General features: G+C 39.4%; 1 protein-coding gene and 1 pseudogene across 8 annotated transcripts in view; both read right to left on the reverse strand.

Annotated features, from left to right (window-relative positions):
- STAG1 (STAG1 cohesin complex component) overlaps window positions 1-21,029 on the reverse strand; it is a 416,143-nt gene that overhangs the window by 92,139 nt on the left and 302,975 nt on the right. For all 8 annotated transcript variants that reach the window (XR_001739978.2, NM_005862.3, XM_047447229.1 and 5 more), the window contains 2 exons: window positions 14,913-15,030; window positions 5,182-5,285 (listed from right to left, as the gene is read on the reverse strand). Coding sequence is in view for 7 of the 8 variants with exons in the window: in NM_005862.3 (NP_005853.2) it covers window positions 5,182-5,285; window positions 14,913-15,030 (222 nt within the window). In the remaining variant the exon portion in view is untranslated. The remainder of the gene's footprint in view (window positions 1-5,181; window positions 5,286-14,912; window positions 15,031-21,029) is intronic.
- RNU6-1284P (RNA, U6 small nuclear 1284, pseudogene) lies at window positions 1,710-1,809 on the reverse strand (annotated as a pseudogene).

Here is a 21,029-nt window from a genome sequence, read left to right on the forward strand (position 1 = left end):
GTACCTTGCCAGTAAGGGATTGCCTTTTAAAGTTCTTCTGATAACGGACAATGCCCCTGACCAACCAGAACCCAGTAAGTTCAACACCACAGGCATCAAAATGGTCTACTTGCTCCTAAACACAGTATCTCTAAATCAGCCTACAGATCAGGGGTCCATAGAACCCTTAAAGGTCATTAAACATAGTACTCAATGGAAAGGGCTGTCAACACTATTGAAGAGAACCCTGATAGAATATGATGGAAGTCTGGAAGAATTACACCACTGAAAATGCCATTGTTGTTCTAAAGCCATCAAGCCCCCCAAAATAAATACCTGTTGGAGAAAACTGTGTCCAGATGTTATGTACGATTTCACAGAACTTATGACAGAACCAATCAAGAAAATCATCAAAGAGATTGTGGTTATAGTATAAAATGTGGGGAATGAAAGACTTCAACATATAGATCTTAGAGAAATTAGAGAGCAAATAGACACCAGCCAGGAATGAGGGCTCACGTCTGTAATCCCCGCACTGTGGGATGCCAAGGTGGGAGAATCACCTGAGGAAAGGAATTCGAGACCAGCCTGGCCAACATGGTGAAACCCCGTATCTACTAAAAATACAGAAAACTAGCTAGGCGTGGTGGCACAGGCCTGTAAAACCCAGCCACTCGGGAGGCTGAGGCAGGAGAATTACTTGAACCCATGAGGCAGAGGTTGCAGTAAGCCCAGATAGCATCATTGCACTCCAGCCTGGAACAGAGCGCAGGCTGGGAGAGGTGGCTCACACCTGTAATCCCAGCACTTTGGGAGGCCGAAACGGGTGGATGACCTGAAGTCAGGAGTTCGAGACCAGCCTGGCCAACGTGGCGAAACCCTGTGTCTACTAAAAATACAAAAACTAGCTGGCCCTGGTGGCGGGTGCATGTAATCCCTGGTACTTGGGAGTCTGAGGCAGGAGAATCGCTTGAACCCGGGAGGTGGAGGTTGCAGTGAGCCCAGATCACGCCACTGCACTCCAGCCTGGATGACAAGAGCGAAACTCTGTCTCAAAAACAAAAAAGACTACACCAGAGGAACTAATAGAGGATGACTTGATGGAGATGAGTGCTTCTGAACTGGTACCAGATGATGAGGAAGAAAATGCTGAAGAAGGGGTGCCTAAATCAACATTAGATAATTTGGCAGAAGAGTTCCAATTATTTAAGACTGCTTTTGCTTCTTTGGTGACACAGACCCTTGTATTACGTGGGCACTGAAATTAAAGCAAATAGTGGAAGGAGGATTGGTATCACACAGAATGAAAAAGCAAAAAGACAGAAATTACAATGTATTTCTGTAAAGTTACAGTGAGTGTACCTGCCTCTCCTTCCTTCTCCATCTCTTCTGCTTCTGCCACTGGAGACAGCAAGACAAAAACCCTCTTCCTCCTCCCCAGTGTACTCAATGTCAACATGTCAAGGATGAAGACTTTTATGTTGATCCAGTTAATAAATAGTAAATATATTTTCTCTTCCTTCTGATTTTCTTAAAAACTTTTTTCTCCTCTAGCTTAATTTATTGCAAGAATACAGTGTATAATACATATTACATACAAAATGTGTTAATCCATTGTTTGTGTTAACAGCTTTAAGGCTTCTGATCATTTAGGTTATTGGTAGGCTATAGTAGTTAAGTTCTGGGGGAATCAAAAGTTACACGTGAATTTTTTAAATTTTAAGATTCATAAAAATATTTCATAAATTTGCATGTCATCCTTGCAAAGGGGCCATGCTCATCTTCTCTATATTGATCCAAATTCAGTATATCTGCTGCCGAAGTGAGCACACATGGATTTTTGACTGTGCAGGTCAGTGCCACTAACCCCTGCATTGTTCAAGGGTAAACGGTATATAATTTCACCCTTAAATATTTCAGCATATGTCTCTAGCAGATGAGGACCACTATAATTCCTCTGTTTTTATTTTTAAATATGAATGATTACTGTAGGGATTATAATATACATTTTTAACTTGTAACTGACTTCAGGTTGATATTGAATTAATTATAATAAAACATAGCAATTTTGCTCCAATATAGTTCCATATCTTTTTCCCTTTTGTGTTACTCTTGTCACATATATTTATGTTATAATCTCAACACTATAGTGCTATAATTATCTACTTAAATCAGGGGTATCCAATTTTTTGGCTTCCCTGGGCCACAATGGAAGAACAATTGTCTGGGGCTACACATAAAATACACTACCACTAACGATAGCTGAAGAGCTTAAAAAAAAAAAAAAAAAGCGAAAATATCTCATAGTGTTTTAAGTTTAAAAATTTGTGTTGGGCTGCATTCAAAGCTGTCCTGGGCCACATGCAGCCTGCAGGCCACAGGTTGGACAAGCTTGATTTAAATAATTTCATGTTCTTTCAAGGAAATTAAGAGAAGGAAACAGACATAGACAGACACACACACACACACACACACACACACACACACACACACACACACAGCCTTTTACCTTTTATATCCACTCACATACTTACCATTTCAGATTTACATTCTTCCTTTTTTTTTTTGGAGACAGAGTCTTACTCTGTCACCCAGGCTAGAGTGCAGTGGGGTGATCTCAGCTCACTGAAACTTCTGCCTTCTGGGTTCAAGCAATTCTCCTGCCTCAGCCTCTCGAGTAGCTGGGATTACAGGCATGTGCCACCATGCCCAGCTAATTTTTGTAATTTTAGTAGAGATGGGGTTTCGCCATGTTGGCCAGGCTGGTCTTGAACTCCTGACCTTAGGTAATCCACCTGCCTTGGCCTCCCAAAGTGACAGGACTGCAGGAGTGAGCCACTGCACCCAGCCCATTCCTTCTTTTTTCATTCCTTCTTGTGGATTTGTTTTATCACCTTATGATATTCCTTATGGCTTGAAGGACTTTTCTTTTTTTTTGAGTCACAGTCTCACTCTGTTGCCCAGGCTGGAGTGCAGTGGCACGATCTTGGCTCACCACAACCTCTGCCTCCCGGGTTCAAGAGATTCTCCTGCCTCAGCCTTCCGAGTGGCTGGGACTACAAGCGTATGCCACCATGCCTGGCTAATTTTTGTATTTTTAGTAGAGATAGGGTTTCCCATGTTGGCCAGGCTGGAGTCGAACTCCTGACCTTGTGATCCACCTGCCTCAGCCTCCCAAAGTGCTGGGATTACAGGCGTGAACCACTGTGCCTGGCTGAAGGACTTCTTTTAGCATTTCTGGTATGGGAGATCTAGCAACACATTCTCCAAATTTTTCCTTTTTGTTTCTCTGGTAATGGTTTTTTACACCTTCATCTTTGGAAGATAATCTTATTAAATTTGTAATTCTTGGTTGGCCATTTTGTTGACTTTCACTGAATATGTCATTCCACTGTCTTCTGGACTCCACTATTTCTGATAAGCTAACTGTTAATACTATTGCTACTGCCCTCTACATTAGTTGTTGATCTCTTGTTGCTTTCAAGATTTTTTGTCTTTGTCTTTTAACAATGTGACTATGTTGTGTCTATATGTGGAACTTTTGTGTTTATTTTATTTGGATTTTGTTAAGCTTCTTGAATCTGCAAATTGTCTCTCATCAAATTTGGGAGGTTTTCAGTGATTATTTCTTCAAATATTTTTTCTGCCTCTATTCCTCTCTCCTTTCCTTCTGGGATTCCCATTATACATATTTCAGTGCACATGATGGTGGTTCCACACATTTCTGAGGCTCTGATAGTATTTCTTCAATCTTTTTTCTTCTCTGTTCTTCAGAATGGATAATTTCTATTAATCTTCATGTTTTTCTATTGTCTCTTTCATCATCTTAAATCTGCTAATTAACTTACTCAGTTAATTTTAAATTTGTGCATTGTACTTCTCACCAGAAATTCCATTTGGGTTTTCATTATTGAGATTCTCTACTTCTTGTTTTCATATTTTCCTGTAATTCTTTGAATATACTTATTAAAAGGCCTCTGAAGTCTTTGCCTGCTAAATCCAACATATAGCCCTACTGAGAAGCCATTTCTATTGTCTGCTTTTTTTCCTGAGTATGGTCACATTTTACTGTTTCTTTGCATGGCTGTAGTTTTTCTTGAAAGTAGACATTTTTGAATAATACAGTAACTAAAGATTTTAATTTTTGTTTTCTTTTTTTTTGGGGGGGGGGGGGCACAGAGTCTTGCTCTGTCACCCAGGCTGGAGAGCAGTGGCATGATCTGGGCTCCCTGCAACCTCTGCCTCTGGGTTCAAGTGATTCTCCTGCTTCAGCCTCTCGAGTAGCTGGAACTACAGGTGCATGCCACCCTGCCCAGCTCATTTTTGTATTTTTAGTAGAGACGGGGTTTCACTATGTTGGCCAGGCTGGTCTTGAACTCCTGACTTCAAGTAATCCCCCACCTAGGCCTCATAAGTGCTAGGATTACAGGCATGAGCCACTTAATCCATTCTCTCTGACAACAAAGCTTCTGGTTTTTGCACGCAGTGCCACTCTGGTAACAAACTACAGATCTTATCGACCAAGCATGTGGGTACATGTGTATTGGCAAGAAGGCCACAGACTTCCGCTGCTTTTACCTGAAGCTCTATCAATTTTTCAGGAAAAAATATTTCCCAATGTGTGTTTTTTTTTTAATCTTTGGTGAATTTCCAGAGCCCTGATGTAATGTTTTTGACAATACATTCCAGTTTTATACTTGCTTTTTGCAGAAAGATCTGCCTACCTCTTCAAACCAACAGAGCCAGGAGTCTCTCCATCTATGATTATCTGAACTCATCTTTAATATAAATACCTGTATTACTAGTCCCATATTACAGATAAGGAAACTAAGACATACAAAAATCATTCATCTATCTAAAGATTATATAGCTGCTAAATAGAAGAACTTGCAAACTAGGCATTTTGCTTCCAGAGCCTTTATGTACTTTTAATAGACGTAAAAATCCTTAAAATATATATATATATAAAATACGTAAGTACAATAACAGAAGCAGGTACAGGTGCTATGGGAGCATGAAGGAAAGAATCTATTTTTGGAACCTGAGTATAGCATATAGGATATAAAGATGAAGCACCATAGTCCATCATTTATAAAAACACCATGTTTTTAGGGATACAAATATCAGTAAAATTTCCAAATATTTAAGACAGTTAATTGCCATTAAAAACCTTTTAGGAGATTTCTCACTAATGTAACTTACTCTCTTGCCGGTACCCCTTCCCACTGGAGGATGTGCCTCAGCAGCTTGACGAATTGTACAAACCATTAGCTCTATAAGAGCACTCTCTTGACGATCAGACATTGCTAAGGTAAAACAAAATACATGAGCATGAGTAGACAGTTTTACAACAACCATGTATTAAAAATGAACACATTATTAAAAAAACTGAAAACATTCTATTACTGCTTATTTTAAAGACTAAAGTTAAGCTCTGTACTTTGCTATTTTTTTTTTTAAAGTAATTATGTGCTTGCTGTCATAAGTCAAATAGGAAAGAGATACAAAGTAAAGAATAAGAGGATAAACTCTGGTCTCTTCTAATGCTACCTTTCTAAGTTAGGCAATTCTAAAATTTCACAGTGTTTCCTTCTACATAATTTCAAAACTCCTAATTTTTCTTTTTTAATGAAAAAGACTATGCCGTATGTTTTTAAAAACTTAACAGACAATATTTTTCAAGTCAATACACACATAATAATTATCTTAATAAATTACTATCTAACGTATGTACCATAATTCAGTCAGCCTTCTACTTATGGTCATTCAAATAATTTCCTGATTTTTGACACTGAACAATGCTTCAATAAACATCATTAATAGATATATATTTATGTAACTGATACATTTATTTCTGTACAATAAATTCTCCAAAGAAGAAATAATGGATTCAAATGGCAAGACCTTGATATTGAGAAATCATAAGATTATTTATTATAATTTATATCCCCAACTGCAATGTTATGAATGTTTGGTTCCTTATATCCCTGTGAACACTAGATGTTATAAACCATTTTAATTTTTGCCAGTCCAATGGTTGAAAAGGGGTATTTGGTTATTATTTTGCTCCTTCCTATCTACTAATTAGTTAAGTGGAATATATTTTCTATTTTTCCCTAAGATTTGTCTATGTTTATTCTTCACCTGTTTTTGTGCTACTATTCACCTTTCTTATCAATCTGAGAACTCTTGTATGGTAGGGGTAGTACTTTTTATCTTTTGAATGATGCAAGTATTTTCTCCCAGTTTGTCATTTGTTATCAGACTCTTCATGGTATCTTCTGTCAGACAGAAATTGTTAATTTTTAAAAAGCCACGTCTGTCTCCTTTTGTTTTATGGCTTCCAGGTTTCTTGTATTGCCTTCAAAGATCTCTCTGTCCTGCAGATTACACTAATATGTTCTTCATTTTCTTCTAATTTATTTCATCTTTTGCTGTCTCGTGTGCTTGCTTGCTCTTTTGCTCTTCCTTCCTTTCACTTTTTCTGTCTCTCTTGCTTGCTCACTTTTGTATTTTTAACCTATTTGGCATTTATTTCTGATGATAGTAGGTGGGTCTGTTTATTCCCACCAAATAGCCAGTTGTCTCCACCACTGTTAAACCAGATTTCCCTTTTTAATTTAAATGTCATTTTTAAACATGGTTCAGGCATTTTTGGATTCTTTAGTTTCACTAATCTATTTGTATATTTCTATGACAATGCTTTACTGCTTTGATTATACTAGACTTATGGCATAATTTGTTATAACTTAATATGTAACTTAATTCAACCAACTTGAATATATAAGCAAGTTTCCCTTATCTAGCCCTTTTTCTAAAATTTTGTTTAATTTCTATAACGCTAATAGCAATTCATTTATTAAGAATTTTCTATATCTAAAGCACGATCATAAGTGGCTTATATGTAATAACTTGTTTTATCCACAAAACATTTCTAAGAGATAGGAACTAATATCCTCACTTCACAGACAGGGAGAATGAGCCACAGAAAAATGCACTTAGCTAGCAGTAGAGCATTCAAATATATGAACTCAGGTAGTTTGACCCCAGAGTCAGTTCTCTTAAGCACTACGCTATACTGTCTTTTCAGCATAAGCTTAGAATTCTACATAAACTTTAAAATCATTTTGCTTAGTTAGTTCGTATTCACCATATCTCCCAGAACTCTCTCAAACCCACTGGAATTATGACTAGTACCATTAAAAAAAATGACATTTTCAGCTAGAAATACAATATAGCTTTTCAGTTTTGAGATCTTAAGTCATTTAATTAAAACTATGGTTTCCTTCACATAGATTCTATACTTTCCCGAATTCTTTTTTTCTTTTTTTTTGAGACGGCATTTCACTCGTGTCACCCAGGCTGGAGTGCAGTGAGGCTATCTTGGCTCACTGCAACCTCTGCCGCCCAGGTTCCAGTGATTCTCCTGCCTCAGCCTCCCTAGTAGCTGGGATTACAGGTGGCTGCCACCGCCCCTGGCTGATTTTTGTAGTTTTAGTAGAGACGGGGTTTCACCATCTTGGCCATGCTGGTCTTGAACCCCTGACCTCGTGATCCACCCGTCTTGGCCTACCAAAGCACGGGGATTACAGGTGTGAGCCACTGCACCCAGCCTGTTTTTTTTGAGACAGTCTTGCTCCATCGCCCAGGCCAGAAGGCAATGGCGTGATCTCAGCTCACTGCAACCTCCGCCTCCCAGGTTCAAAGGATTCTCCTGCTTCAGCCTCCTAAGTAGCTGGGATTACAGGTGTGCCACCACACCCGGCTAATTTTTGTATTTTTAGGAGAGTCGGGGTTTCACCATGATGGCCAGGCTGGTCTCAAACTCCTGACCTCAAGTGATCCACCGGCCTCAGCCTCTCAAAGTGCTGAGATTCCAAGCATGAGCCACCACGCCTGGCCTCATTCTTACATATTTTTAAACTCAGATATTTTTGGTTTTTTTGGAAGTGGAGTCTCACTCTGTCACCCAGGCTGGAGTACAGTGGCGTGATCTCGGCTCACTGCAACCTCTGCCTCCTAGGTTCAAGTGATTCTCCTGCCTCAGCCTCCTGAGTAGCTGGGATTACAGGCATGTACCACCACGCCCAGCTAATTTTTGTACTTTTAGTAGAGACAGGGTTTCACCATGTTGGCCTGGCTGGTCTCGAACTCCTGAGCTCAAGTGATCCACCCACGTCGGCCTCCCAAAGTGCTAGATTACAGGTGTGAGCCCCTGTGCCCAGCCTTAAACTCAGATTTTGATAATTCGAATAGTTTAGTTCTTTCTTTCTCCTTCCCTCTGTATACTTATTTATATTGAAGACCAGTAGATGTAGGTATTATAGACACAGAACTAGGTATAAATTTAAGAATTCAATTAATTTACAAAGGTTTAAAAGTTTACATTGATTATTTTAAACTAAGTTGGAGCAAAATCAAAGAAAAGGCAAAAAAGATACAACATCTTGTTCTTTATTCTGTACCAAAATTATCTTGTAAAAATATGTATGTACATCTTAATTCAGTGTTTTAACAATTGTCTTTTAAAAAAACACATGAACTTTAGCTTATCTTAGGAAAAACAAATGAAACATCAGCTTGTCCATCTGTATCCGAATGATCCAATGCCTAGTAATACAAAAAAAGCTTTTTGCTCAATAACAACTAAAGTTCTATTTTTATGATTTCAGAAATTCATAATTTTTCACATTTGGCTGGAGCTAAAGGAAGTACAAGGCTGCCCATGAACTAAATGCATTGTCTGTTATTTAGGAAGAAAACACAGTCTTACGGAAAGTGAGGAAGGACAGAACAACTTATCTCAAGAACAGAAACATTCTCCCATTATAGTGGGAGTAAAATTCACAGTAGTGTTGAAGCTTAACTCAACCTTGCACAGTGTTCAATTCCATCAATTTTGTTACTTTATCATTTGAAGCCATCCACTTAGAAACTTACCCTGAACGGGGAGATAAGGTAAACTCAAAAGCAGTTGAAATTTAATTGAAATTCCTTTTGGGATATGACAGCAAAACTACATAATAAAATTGAAAGCAAACAAGCCTTAAGCCACAGGCAAGAGCCAAACAGCCACACTGACTGAAACAAATGGGTAGCTGTTCATGGTACAAACTGTCATTTGAACTTCCTAACACAACATATAACTATACAAGTTTCTACACAGCATCTCCATTTCCTCACTATTGATTTTAGTCTTATCACCTTGAACTCTGGCTTCTCCCTTTTAGTATCACTGAATATATATGGTATCATTGAATCATGCTTTAAAATCACCAATGACCTAAATCATCACAAAATGATTTGTGTAGTCTTTTTTCTCCTCTGCAATATATATTATTAACTATGGCTCTCTTGAACATCCTCTTTACTGGGCTTGCAAAGGTTATAATTATCTCTTATCCTTTTTATAGTTAGGTAGAACTCTCATTCTTTCTTGCTCTTCCTGCTTTCATCCCCTATCCACAATCTTTAACTCAGCCATGGGCTCTTTCCCTCTTTATAAGCCATCTCCCTCTTTTATATTTTTACCATCATTCCTCATAGAGACCACTGCAATGATTATGTATTTTTCCAAACAATGTTTATGAAAGGGATTTTTCTTAAAATATGCATTGGATCACATTATTCCCCTGTTTAAAATCTTCAAAAGCATCTTATTACATTTAGGATGAGATAAGTTCACTTATAAACTAAAATGCTCTATATCATCTGATTTCTGCTTCTATTACATCTTGTATCATTGGCTCATTATGTTCCAGCTATTGCATCTCCTAGAACATAACATCATTCATGTTTCAGATACTTTGAAACTGTTATTTCCTCTATCTAGATAGCTCTTTTATGACAATTTCCATATCTGGTCCCTTATCGTTTAGTTTCTTTTCTTTTTTTTTTTTTTTTTGAGATGGAGTCTCGCTCTATTGCCCAGACTGGAGTGCAGTGGCATGATCTTGCCTGCCGGGTTCCTGTGATTCTCCTGCCTCAGTCTCCCGAGTAGCTGGGATGACAAGGCGCGTGCCACCACACTCAGCTAACATTTTGGATTTTTAGTAGAAACGGGGTTTCACCATGCTGGCCAGGCTGGTCTTGAACTCCTAACCACAAGTGATCCGCCCGCCTTGGCTCCCCAAAGTGCTAGGATTAAAGGCATGAGCTACCGTGCCTGGTTGCCTTATCATTTAGTTTCTTGGCTCACAGGTGGCCTGCTCAGGAAGGTCTTCCATCAGGATTCAGTCTAAAGATAGATCCCCTATAATTATCCACCAAAGCTACTTATTAACTCTTGAAATTATTTTGAATATTTACTCAATTTTGGTCTGCCTTCTTCAGGAGAATGTAAGCTCCATATTGGCAGTGAGCTCATCTAGTATAACACTATACGCTCAGCACTTAGCATAATATTTGACTCATATAGTTAATAAATATTTTTAAATTATTAATGAATTAATAATTCCTGCTTTTAAGAATCTTATTATTTACAGCTACTTCATTCATCAACTGGATTACAGAATGTTAGCACTAGAAATAACCAAAGAAGATTATCTAGTTAAAGTTTCTCAGCCAGGTGTGGTGGCTCATTCCTGTAATCCCAGCACTTTGGGAGGCCAAGGCAGGCGGATCACTTGAGGTCAGTAGTTCGAGACCAGCCTGGCCAACATGGGGAAACCGATCTCTACTAAAAATACAAAAATTAGCCAGGTGTGGTGGTGAGCGCCTGTAATCCCAGCTACTAGAGAGGCTGACACATGAGAATCGCTTGAACCTGGGAGGCGGAGGTTGCAGTGAGCCGAGATCCGCCACTGCACTACAGCCTGGGCAACAGAGCAAGACCCAGACTCAAAAAAAAAAAAAAAAAAACCCATAAAAAAAAAAATAAAGTTTCTCATTTTACAGTTTAAGAAGCTGATATCCAGAAGTTACTTGATTTGGTTATGGTCTTGTTACCTGGTGGCAGAGCTGTTGACAAGAACCAGATCCAAACATTATACTAAAAATTTATTCAGCAACTTGATTTTGCTGTAAAACACCCCCCGACACACACACACACACACACACACACACACACACACACACACACACACACACAAACACTGTAAGACAGTCTTAAGGCCACTGTGATTTAAACTGATGTTGGTAGTCTGTCACAGTGTGTCTGCTTTCCCAAAATTTAGTCCTACATCTCCAACTGCTAACCACAGCCTTCTCCACTGGAATTCTACCACATTCCACCTATCTAAAAAATTACTTTAAAAAAAAGTTACTGGTAGCATTTTGTTGTCATAAAATACAGCAAAATACTAGCACAGAAAATTAATTTAGATGCCACTCCATGCCAGAGCTTATATGTGGTTTGCATGTGGTACAACATGCATAGAGATAAAATGTATTTGAAAAATTAAGTCATTATGTAGATACAGTTCTGCAACTGTTATGCCTAATTTCTCAGACTCTGCCTACCTAGATTCGATCAGTGAAACTGTGGTTGACTTCCAAAAATGTTCCCATCTGGTAAGTTACTTTTCTAGCTTAAACCAACCAACCAAACCCAAGCCAAGCCAAACCAACCTTCTGACCGGAAGTTTAAAAAATCCAATGTAAACAGAATTTAAACCACAATGAAACACCTAATAGTATATATTTTAACAAGTAAAATGCACCTAGACCACCTTCATTACTGAAACACTTAGTAATTATTATTTACTGACTTACACATCTTATTAACATGAGAGAAAGTTAACAATATCAAAGCAGACCATCTTGTCTTGTCTTAATTTATATATTTATTTTTTTCTTTTTTTTGAGATGGAGTCTCACACTGTCACCCAGGCTGAAGGGCAGTGGCGCAATCCTGGCTTACTGCAAGCTCTGCCTCCCGGGTTTACACCATTCTCCTGCCTCAGCCTCCAGAGTAGCTGGGACTACAGGCGCCCGCCACCAGGCCTGGCTAATTTTTCATATTTTTAGTAGAAATGGGGTTTCACCGTGTTAGCCAGGATGGTCTCGATCTCCTGACCTCATGATCCACCCATCTTGGCCTCCCAAAGTACTGGGATTACAGGCCTGAGCCACTGCGCCCTGCCCTTAATTTATATTCTTTGCCTCCCTTCTCCTTGGAAATAACCTTATGGAACATGGGGTGATATACAGAAAATGAGTTGGAATAGGAAGGAGAAGCTCTACCTTACTCTGGCAATTTTATAGCTACAAACAAGGTAAGGAAAATGAATGGAACCTACCATTGAATACTAACCTGAGGCCCTTTACTCAAGTGTTGATAAGGCAGTAGACATTAGAGGGAAATTGATTTTTATCAGGGAAAATATTAAGGTTAGTTAGAAACAGAATGTGTAAGCCGGGGAGTGGTGGCTCACGCCTGTAATCTCAGCACTTTGGGAGGGTGAGGTGGGAGGACTACTTGAGCCCAGGAGTTTGAGACCAGCTTAGGCAACATGGTGAAACCCCATCTTTACTGAAAATACAAAAAAAATTAGGCATGGTGGTGCACGCCTGTAGTCCCAACCACTTGGGAGGCTGAGGTCGGAGGATTGCTTAAGCTGGGAAGGCAGAGGTTCATATTCCTGTGATCACAAAAGTGAAGGGAATTCAAAATATAGTGGACAGTTTCACCTAGTGAGCAGAGGGCCCTGTCAACTTAACAACAGGACCATCTTTCCTTTTTTTTTTTTTTTTTTTTGAGATGAAGTCTCACTCTGTTGCCCAGGGTGGAGTGAATCGGCGAGATCTCAGCTCACTGCAATCTCTGCCTCCAGGGTTTAAGTGATCCTCCTGCCTCAGCCTCCCGAGTAGATGGGATTACAAGTGCCCGCCACCAAACCTGGCTAATTTTTGTATTTTTAGTAGAGACGGGGTTTTGCCATATTGGCGAGGCTGGTCTCAAACTCCTGACCTCAGGTGATCCACCTACCTCAGCCTCCCAAAGTGCTGGGATTACAGGCGTGAGCCACCACACCTGGTCTAGGACCACTTTCTTACTAAGGATATCATGGAGTGAAAGACCATGTGCAAATAAAATAAATAATAATTACAGCTAGAGGCAAATATAGCATAATAAGCTCTTCCTTGAAAGGTCTGAGAAAAGTTTGGGAAGAATTTGTGTCACACATAATAAATTAGAAAAAAGTTTTTAGTTTAGAAGAGGCATTTTGGGCCAGTTTACCAGCATGTATCTGGGTTTAACACAAACTTGTTTGTCTCAATGAATTATGTCAAAGCCAGAATAGATAATACAAATTAGTATCACTGCTTGGAAGGAACACTGGGGGATGCTCACTCTCCCGGTAATCTGCATGGGTAGTCTACTGCGGGGGATGGCTCATTATGCTCTTGTAATATTCCAAAAGGATGAACCACACAGGAGGGTACAGGAAGCAGAAAAGGGACTCAATAGAACAGTATCTTGCTTAATCTTCACAGCTATATAAGGTACACAAGGAAATAATCTCTGTTACAGAAAAAGGCAAACTAAGGATTAGAAAATCTGAGGACATAAGTAAAAAGAGAGAGAGTTAAAAATTTGAATTAATATTACTTTAGATTTTGGCCAGATGCGGTGGCTCACGCCTGTAATTCAAGCACTATGGTAGGCCGAGGCGGGAGGATCACCTGAGCTCAGGAGTTCAAGACGAGCCTGGTCAACATGGTGAAATCCTGTCTCTAATAAAAGTACAAAAATTAGCTGGGCATGATGGCATGTGCCTGCAGTCCCAGCTACTCAGGAGCCTGAGGCAGAAGGATCACATGAATCTGGGAGGCAGAGGTTGCAGTGAGCTGAGAATGCGCCACTGCACTCCAGTGTGGGTGACAGAGCAAGACTCAATCACACACACACACAAAAATTTTCTTTTGATTCTGAAGACCATGTTCAATCTACTGTGGGCCTCACTTACCTCAAGGCATCACTCACCTTCTAAAGCTGTTGTATGAATTAAATGAGTTACCAATTCTTTAAAGTACTATTGTGGGCTAGTTTGAAAACGTAACCATACACAGGAAAAAGCATTTCTAGTTCTAACGAACGAATATGCGTATAAGCTTTCAGAACACAATCTCTTTATTAGGTATACATGTTCAATTTGCTGTGCATATTATTAAGTAGCATATAAAAAGATGCATACTTCAAAAATTATCATGTGGCTCTTATGTCCCCCTATTTCTTGAGTAGCTAGGTAAATGACTTTATCTCTGATTTCCTGATTTTTATCTTAAAGAAAATGCAACAAAAGAGGGGATGGCTGTGGTCTAATTAAATCATTATGCATAAAAGGTTTTTTCAAAGTTCACATATAAATCAAGAAAAAAAAAATTCTGGATGTACTTAAAAAAAAAAACATTAAGTTACGTCAGTATTTTGTATCTCAAATCAGCATCAAGAAAACCTTTTGGCCAGGTGCAGTGGCTCATGCCTGTAATCCTAGCACTTTGGAGGGCTAAGGCAGGAAGATTACTTGAGGCAATCTGGGGACCACAGTAAGATCCCTGTCTCCACAAAAAATTTAAAAATTAGCTGAGTGTGGTGGCATGTGCCCATAGTCTGAGGTGGGAGGATCCCTTGAGCCCAGTAGTTCAAGGCTGCAGTGAGTTATGACTGGGCCGCTGCACTCCAGCCTGGGTGACAGAGCAAGACCCTGTCACTTAAATTTAAAAAGGAAAAAGTAAAGAAAAACTTTTTTGACTATTACATGACACGCATGGATTTTTAAAAACTTATGTGGCATGGTGGCAGTGTTTATATGGAAACATGTTAGAAACGATTGACACATCCTTACTTGTTACAGAAAACAAATTGTTCTCTTGGCAAAAAGACACAACATGCTTATATATGCTCATTTTTAAGAAGCGATCTATATACAACTGTATTGCTATCAATGGAAATACAAAATCATGTAAATTAACTTGTCAAAATACTATACCTTCCTCTCCTTGAACAGGTTCTTCTAATAGCAACTCTGTCATACATTCCCAGTCTTTCAACAGTTCTTGAGAGCTCTCCCATAAACTGTCCACCAAGTAGGCTGCATGTTCATGTAACTAAAAAGAAAAAATCAAGTGTGACCAAAGAATATTTAATAAAGAAACTACTAATACTAATTTGAGTTAAGAAATCATTTTCTTCATAATTAAAATGGCTTGGTTTCCATGATTCTAAAAACCACTTAGAGAACAATATATATATTCACATTCCACTGTCAATAGTGTGGATGCAGTATGTAGAATCAACTTTTTACCATTTACAGTAGTAAAAGTAAGGATCTCCTAGTCCAATGACATCATTTATAGATGAGGAAACAGAGCATAGCTAGTTAGAAAATTTTCTGAAGTTATATGCTGGATCTAGGTCACTTTTCCCTACTCCTTGCGGTCTCTTCAACTATCTTTATTTTTATTTTTTAAAGGAAATTAATAATTTTTCCCTTGGAATTCCATTAGAAACTCTTGGACCAGCTGTACTTACTTCACATCTCTGTCATCTTAGTCAAAGTAAAAAATACAAGTTACTCCATCTCTCCACTATTCTACTCTCATTTCCACTGGACTCATTTCATTCCTTACTCCACCCCCATTTTCTGTTGGTCATTATTCTCTTGACAATTTTCTTTGGAGCCCATGTTCCCACAGTAAACAAACATAGTTAAGGTCTTCATCAAACACTTCACACCAAACTCTACCACTTGCCAGTCATTAAGCCTTGGAGAATATTATCCTTTTTTTTTTTTTGAGATGGAGTCTTGCTCTATCGCCCAAGCTGGAGGGCAGTGGTGTGACCTCAGCTCACTGCAACCTCCACCTCCTGCGTTCAAGTGATTCTCCTGCCTCAGCCTCCCGAGTAGCTGGGATTACAGGCCCACGCCACCATGCCTGGCTAACTTTCGTATTTTTGGTAGAGATGGGGTTTCACCACGTTGGCCAGACTGGCCTTCAACTCCTGACCTCAAGAGATCTGCCTGCCTCGGCCTGCCAAAGTACTAGGATTACAGGTGTGTGCCACCATGCTGGGCCCTGAGAATATTACTCTAATGAAGCTTTTCAGGGAAGGCAAGTACAGAAGGTGTTGGCATTGTTCTGGTTTCTGCTACTTACAAGTAACTTCTCCACCCTAATATAAAAGATCTTCCACTTTTGAGGCTCATTACATTCAGTTAAACAGTCCTGGTAATCAGTGTTAGTCAAACTACAGACTGCAATCCATTCTTGGGTTATTAAACCAATTCAATGCATTGAGAACTAAGATTCAAAAAATGATGCACAGTAGAAAGAGTGCATAGCACATAGAAAGGGTAAATACTATTTCATTAACTGTAATCTGTTATATGTGCTTGTACTTGTCAGAGAAAATATTTTTCTCATCATAAGTAGTGGCCCAAAAGTATGAAAGTCACCCTTCTAGATCTACTATTGGTTATCTACTGTTATCTTGGCACATTCAGCACTTGAGTTGGATTTCCTCCTCATTCCTAACTCTATAATCACTCTTAACTTCAGTGTGATTTTTTTTTCTCCTTTGGAGACAGGGTCTCACAGTGTTGCGCAGCCTGGAGTGCACTGGCACAATCACGGCTCACTGCAGCCTTGACTTCCTGGGCTCAAGTGATCCTCCGAACTTAGCCCCTGGAGTAGCTGGGACTATAGGAGTGTGCTACCCCGCCTGGCTTTTTTTTTTTTTTTTGTAGAGACGGGGTTACCATGTTACTAGGCTGGTTTCAGTGTGAATTTTAATGACTTATGTAATGCTCTGCCTCTTCTGACACTAATTCAGTACTTCATTTCGACTGCATTTCAAATGCACACAACATGTCCTGGTGAATTCCATCAAAGCCAGAGTAAATAATACTGATTAGCATCTTTGCTTGTAAATAATATAGGCAAAGGTTTGAGGGAGATATCTTCAAACTTTCCTAATTCGCATATTCTGAGAAACTATCCTTAGACCATCCATAACATTACTCCAACAGTGACAGGAACAAGAGGTGCACAACTCAAGAGTCAAAGATGAACAATGGCAGCAGAAAAAAGAAAAATAAATTGTTTCAAAACTGTTGCTATTAACCCATGCTAAATTAAAGAGTTATTATTTATACATATATAAATTAAAGAGCTTTATTTTAAGCTAAAATAAAGAGTTTCAGTTTGGGAAGATTTGAAAAAGTTCTGGAGATAAATGGCAGTGATGACTGCCTAGCAATATAAATGTACTTAATGCCAATGAACTGTATACTTAACAAGGTAAATTTTGTTTTATATATTTTACAATAAATCAGCTGAATATGCTTTTGTGCTTGATTATGTGTATTTCTGTAGAATAGGTATATGAAGATTTACAATCGCATATATTTGGCAGATTATACCTTCAATAAATACAGACTATCCCCTTTCTATCCCTCTTAATGCTTTTGGTCTTTAATTCTGGTTTATCTTGTACTGATATTGCCCCCTCTGCTATCTTTGTGTAATCATTTATTAGTTATTTCCAGCCTTTATCCAGCCTATTATTTATAAACTTCCTATAAGTTATTTTAAGATGTGTTTGTAAATAGCATAAAGCTATTCTTCATTTACTTCAATCCCAAATGATAATCTGCATTTTAATAAAATATGTTAATTGATTTATATTTACTGGGATTACTCATGCTGAAAATATTGCTGGCATTTTATTTTCTGTGCTCTATTTGTGATGTTTTCTTGATTACTTTATCTGTCCTTCATTCAGGGTTTTATTTTCTAGCATTTATCCGTTATCAAAATCCTTAGCCTATTTTTCACTTCTCTTCATTTAATTTGAACACTATACTCCTACATTTAAAAACTAATTAATAGATATTTGCCTTAAACATCAATGTCATAGTTTTTAGGTTTAGCGCTCAGGTTTTTGTTTTTTGTTTTTTAATTTATTTGCTCACCAATGTTTCTTATACTCCTCTTTTCCTTTTATTGTATTGATTTTTCACTTCCCTAGAAAACATGTTCAAGTAATAATCTGCATATAGAGTCTATTAGGCAGTAATCTGACTGCATGTCCTTTGATTTGGTTCTTTCCCTTCATTGTTTTTTTTTAAATTATTTTATTTTTAGACAGAGTCTCACTCTGTCGCCCAGCCTGGAATGCTACGGCATGATCTCGGCTCACTGCAACCTCCGCCTCCCAGGTTCAAGCGATCCTCCTGTCTCAGCATCCCGAGTAGCTGAGATGACAGGCACCTGCCACCATGCCTGACTAATTTTTACATTTTTAGTAGAGAGAGGCTTTCACCATGTTGGCCAGGCTGGTCCTGAACTCCTGACCTCAAGTGATCCACCCGCCTCATCCTCCCAAAGTGTTGGGATTACAGGCATGAGTCACAGTGCCTGGCCTCCCTTGTTTCTGTTCTCCTACACAGCTCCTACTACACAATATAATAAAATTTCTTAATCTATACTGTACCTTAATTTCTCTTTCATATTTTTTTTTTTTGAGACAGAGTCTTGCTCTGTCGCCCAGGATGCAGTGGCGCAATCTCGGCTCACTGCCACCTCTTGCCTCCTGCGTTCAAGCAATTCTCCTGCCTCAGCCTCCTGAGTAGCTGGGACTACAGGTGCATCCCACCACGCCACCCTGCTAATTTTTGTATTTTTAGTTGAGACTGTGTTTTACTATGTTGGCCAGGCTGGTCTCGAACTCCTGACCTCAGGTAATCCACCCGCCTCGGCCTCCCAAAGTGTTGGGATTACAGGCGTGAGCCATCGTGCCTGGCATTTTTGGGAAATTTCTTAAAAATATCGATAAGAAGCTGTCAATTTTCCTGTCTTAAATGACTGTCACAATTATCCTCCTCATTCATAAGAAGGGTGACTGGCTGGGCGTGGTGGCTCACGCCTGTAATCCCAGCACTTTGGGGGGCCAAGGCGGGCAGCAAGAGATCGAGACCATCTGGCCAACATGGTGAAACCGTCTCTACTAAAAATACAAAAATTGCTGGGTGTGGTGGCGCGTGCCTGCAGTACCACCTACTCAGGAGGCTGAGGCAGGAGAATCACTTGATCCCAGGAGGCGGAGGGTGCAGTGAGCTAAGATTCTGCCACTGCACTCCAGTCTGGCAACAGACCGAGATTTGGTCTCCAAAAAATAAAACAATAAAAAAAGAAGAAGGGTGACCATACTGCCAGATTATCCAGAAATGTTCTGGGTTGTTCTTGTTGTTTTGAAATAATTACTAATAGCATCCTTATCCCTCTGAAAAGCATCACATTTTTTTTTTTTTTTTTTTTTTTTTTTTGAGACAGAGTCTTAAACTGTCGCCCAGGCTGGAGGGCAGTGGTGCGATCTCGGCTCACTGCAAGCTCCGCCTCCCGGGTTCATGTCATTTTCCTGTCAGTCTCCTGCCTCAGCCTCCAGAGTAGCTGGGACTACAGGTGCCCGCCACCAGGCCCAGCTAATTTTTTGCATTTTTAGTAGAGACGGGGTTTCACCGTGTTAGCCAGGATGGTCTCGATCTCCTGACCTCGTGATCTGCCCGCCTCCACCTCCTAAAGTGCTGGGTTTACAGGCATGAGCCACCGCGCCTGGCTGCATCACACTTTTTATAATAAATTCTAGAGTCATACTACCTCTAGGGAAATCCAGACTTATCACATTCAAGTACGACTTATCCAACTATCTGGCATGCATCTAAAATACAAGGTATTTTGTCACCTGAAATCAATGACTGTCACAGGTTGAAACATCTTAAAAAATCACCTTTTGGTACCAAAAGAAAACAAAGTTACTGACTTGTTTATGCAGATCTCTTAATCACATTTTACATGCACTGCAAACTGATTCCAATTCAACATTTTATAATTCTACTAAAATGTTACTACTTCTCATTTCAGTAAAATAAAGAAAAAAATAATCAGTTCAGTTAATCCCAGGTAAATGTCTGTGTACTGGTCTGTTCTCATGCTGCTAATAAAGACATATCAGAGACTGGGAAATTTATAAGGGAAAGAGATTTAATGGACTCACAAAACAGATCCACATGACCGGGGACGCCTCACAATCATGGCAGAAGATGAAGGAAGAGCAAAGGGACATCTTACATGGTGGCAGGCAAGAGAGCTTGTGCAGGGGAAATCCCATTGATAAAAACATCAGATCTCGTGAGACTTACTACCATGAGAACCATGTAAGAAAAACTGCCCTTATGATACAGTTATCTCCACCTGGTCCCACCCTTGACACATGGGGATTATTACAATTCAAGATGGGATGTGGGTGGGGACAGGGCCAAACCATATCAGTCTGTAACTAATCTATAAAAGACTCCCTTGGCTGGGGACAGTGCTTCACGCCTGTAATTTCAGCACTTCGGGAGACTGAGGAGGGTGGATCACCTGAGGTCAGGAGTTCAAGACCAGCCTGGCCAACATGGCGAAACTCCATCTCTACTAAAAATAAAAAGATTAGCCAGGCGTGGTGGCGCATGCCTCTAATCCCAGCTACTCGGGAGGCTGAGACAGGAGAATCGCTTGAACCCAGGAGGCAGAGGTTGCAGTGAGTGGAGATTGCACCACTGCACTCCAGCAAGACTCCATCCCAAAAAAAAAAGACTCTTTCTACTCTATTATTTCTAAAGTCTCTTTAAATTCAGTATTTCACAAGTCTATTACAAAATTTTACCAATTAAAGTGTGTGACAGTAAAACAAAGAGAAATTCAGAGTAGAGCACAATTGGAATACCATCATACTATGAGAATATGGCTTCATTAAGCATTCATCCTAGGTGTACACTAGTATAAAAAGATAAGAGGAGAGATTTTCACAAAGAATATTTCTTGTGAAACACAGGATACCATAAAAGTCAATATAAACACCATGAATCATTAGAATCAACCAGAAACCTTTCAATACTATTTGCAGTTGCTTTTGTAGCTGTGAAAAATGCAATACAGGGCCAGGCGTGGTGGCTCACGCCTGTAATCCCAGCACTTTGGAAGGCCGAGGCAGGTGGACCACCTGAGGTTAGGAGTTCGAGACCAGCCAGACTAACATGGTGAAACCCTGTCTCTACTAAAAA

This window comes from Homo sapiens, chromosome 3 (genome assembly GCF_000001405.40).
Source record: "Homo sapiens chromosome 3, GRCh38.p14 Primary Assembly".
Classification (NCBI taxonomy): Eukaryota; Metazoa; Chordata; class Mammalia; order Primates; family Hominidae; genus Homo; species Homo sapiens.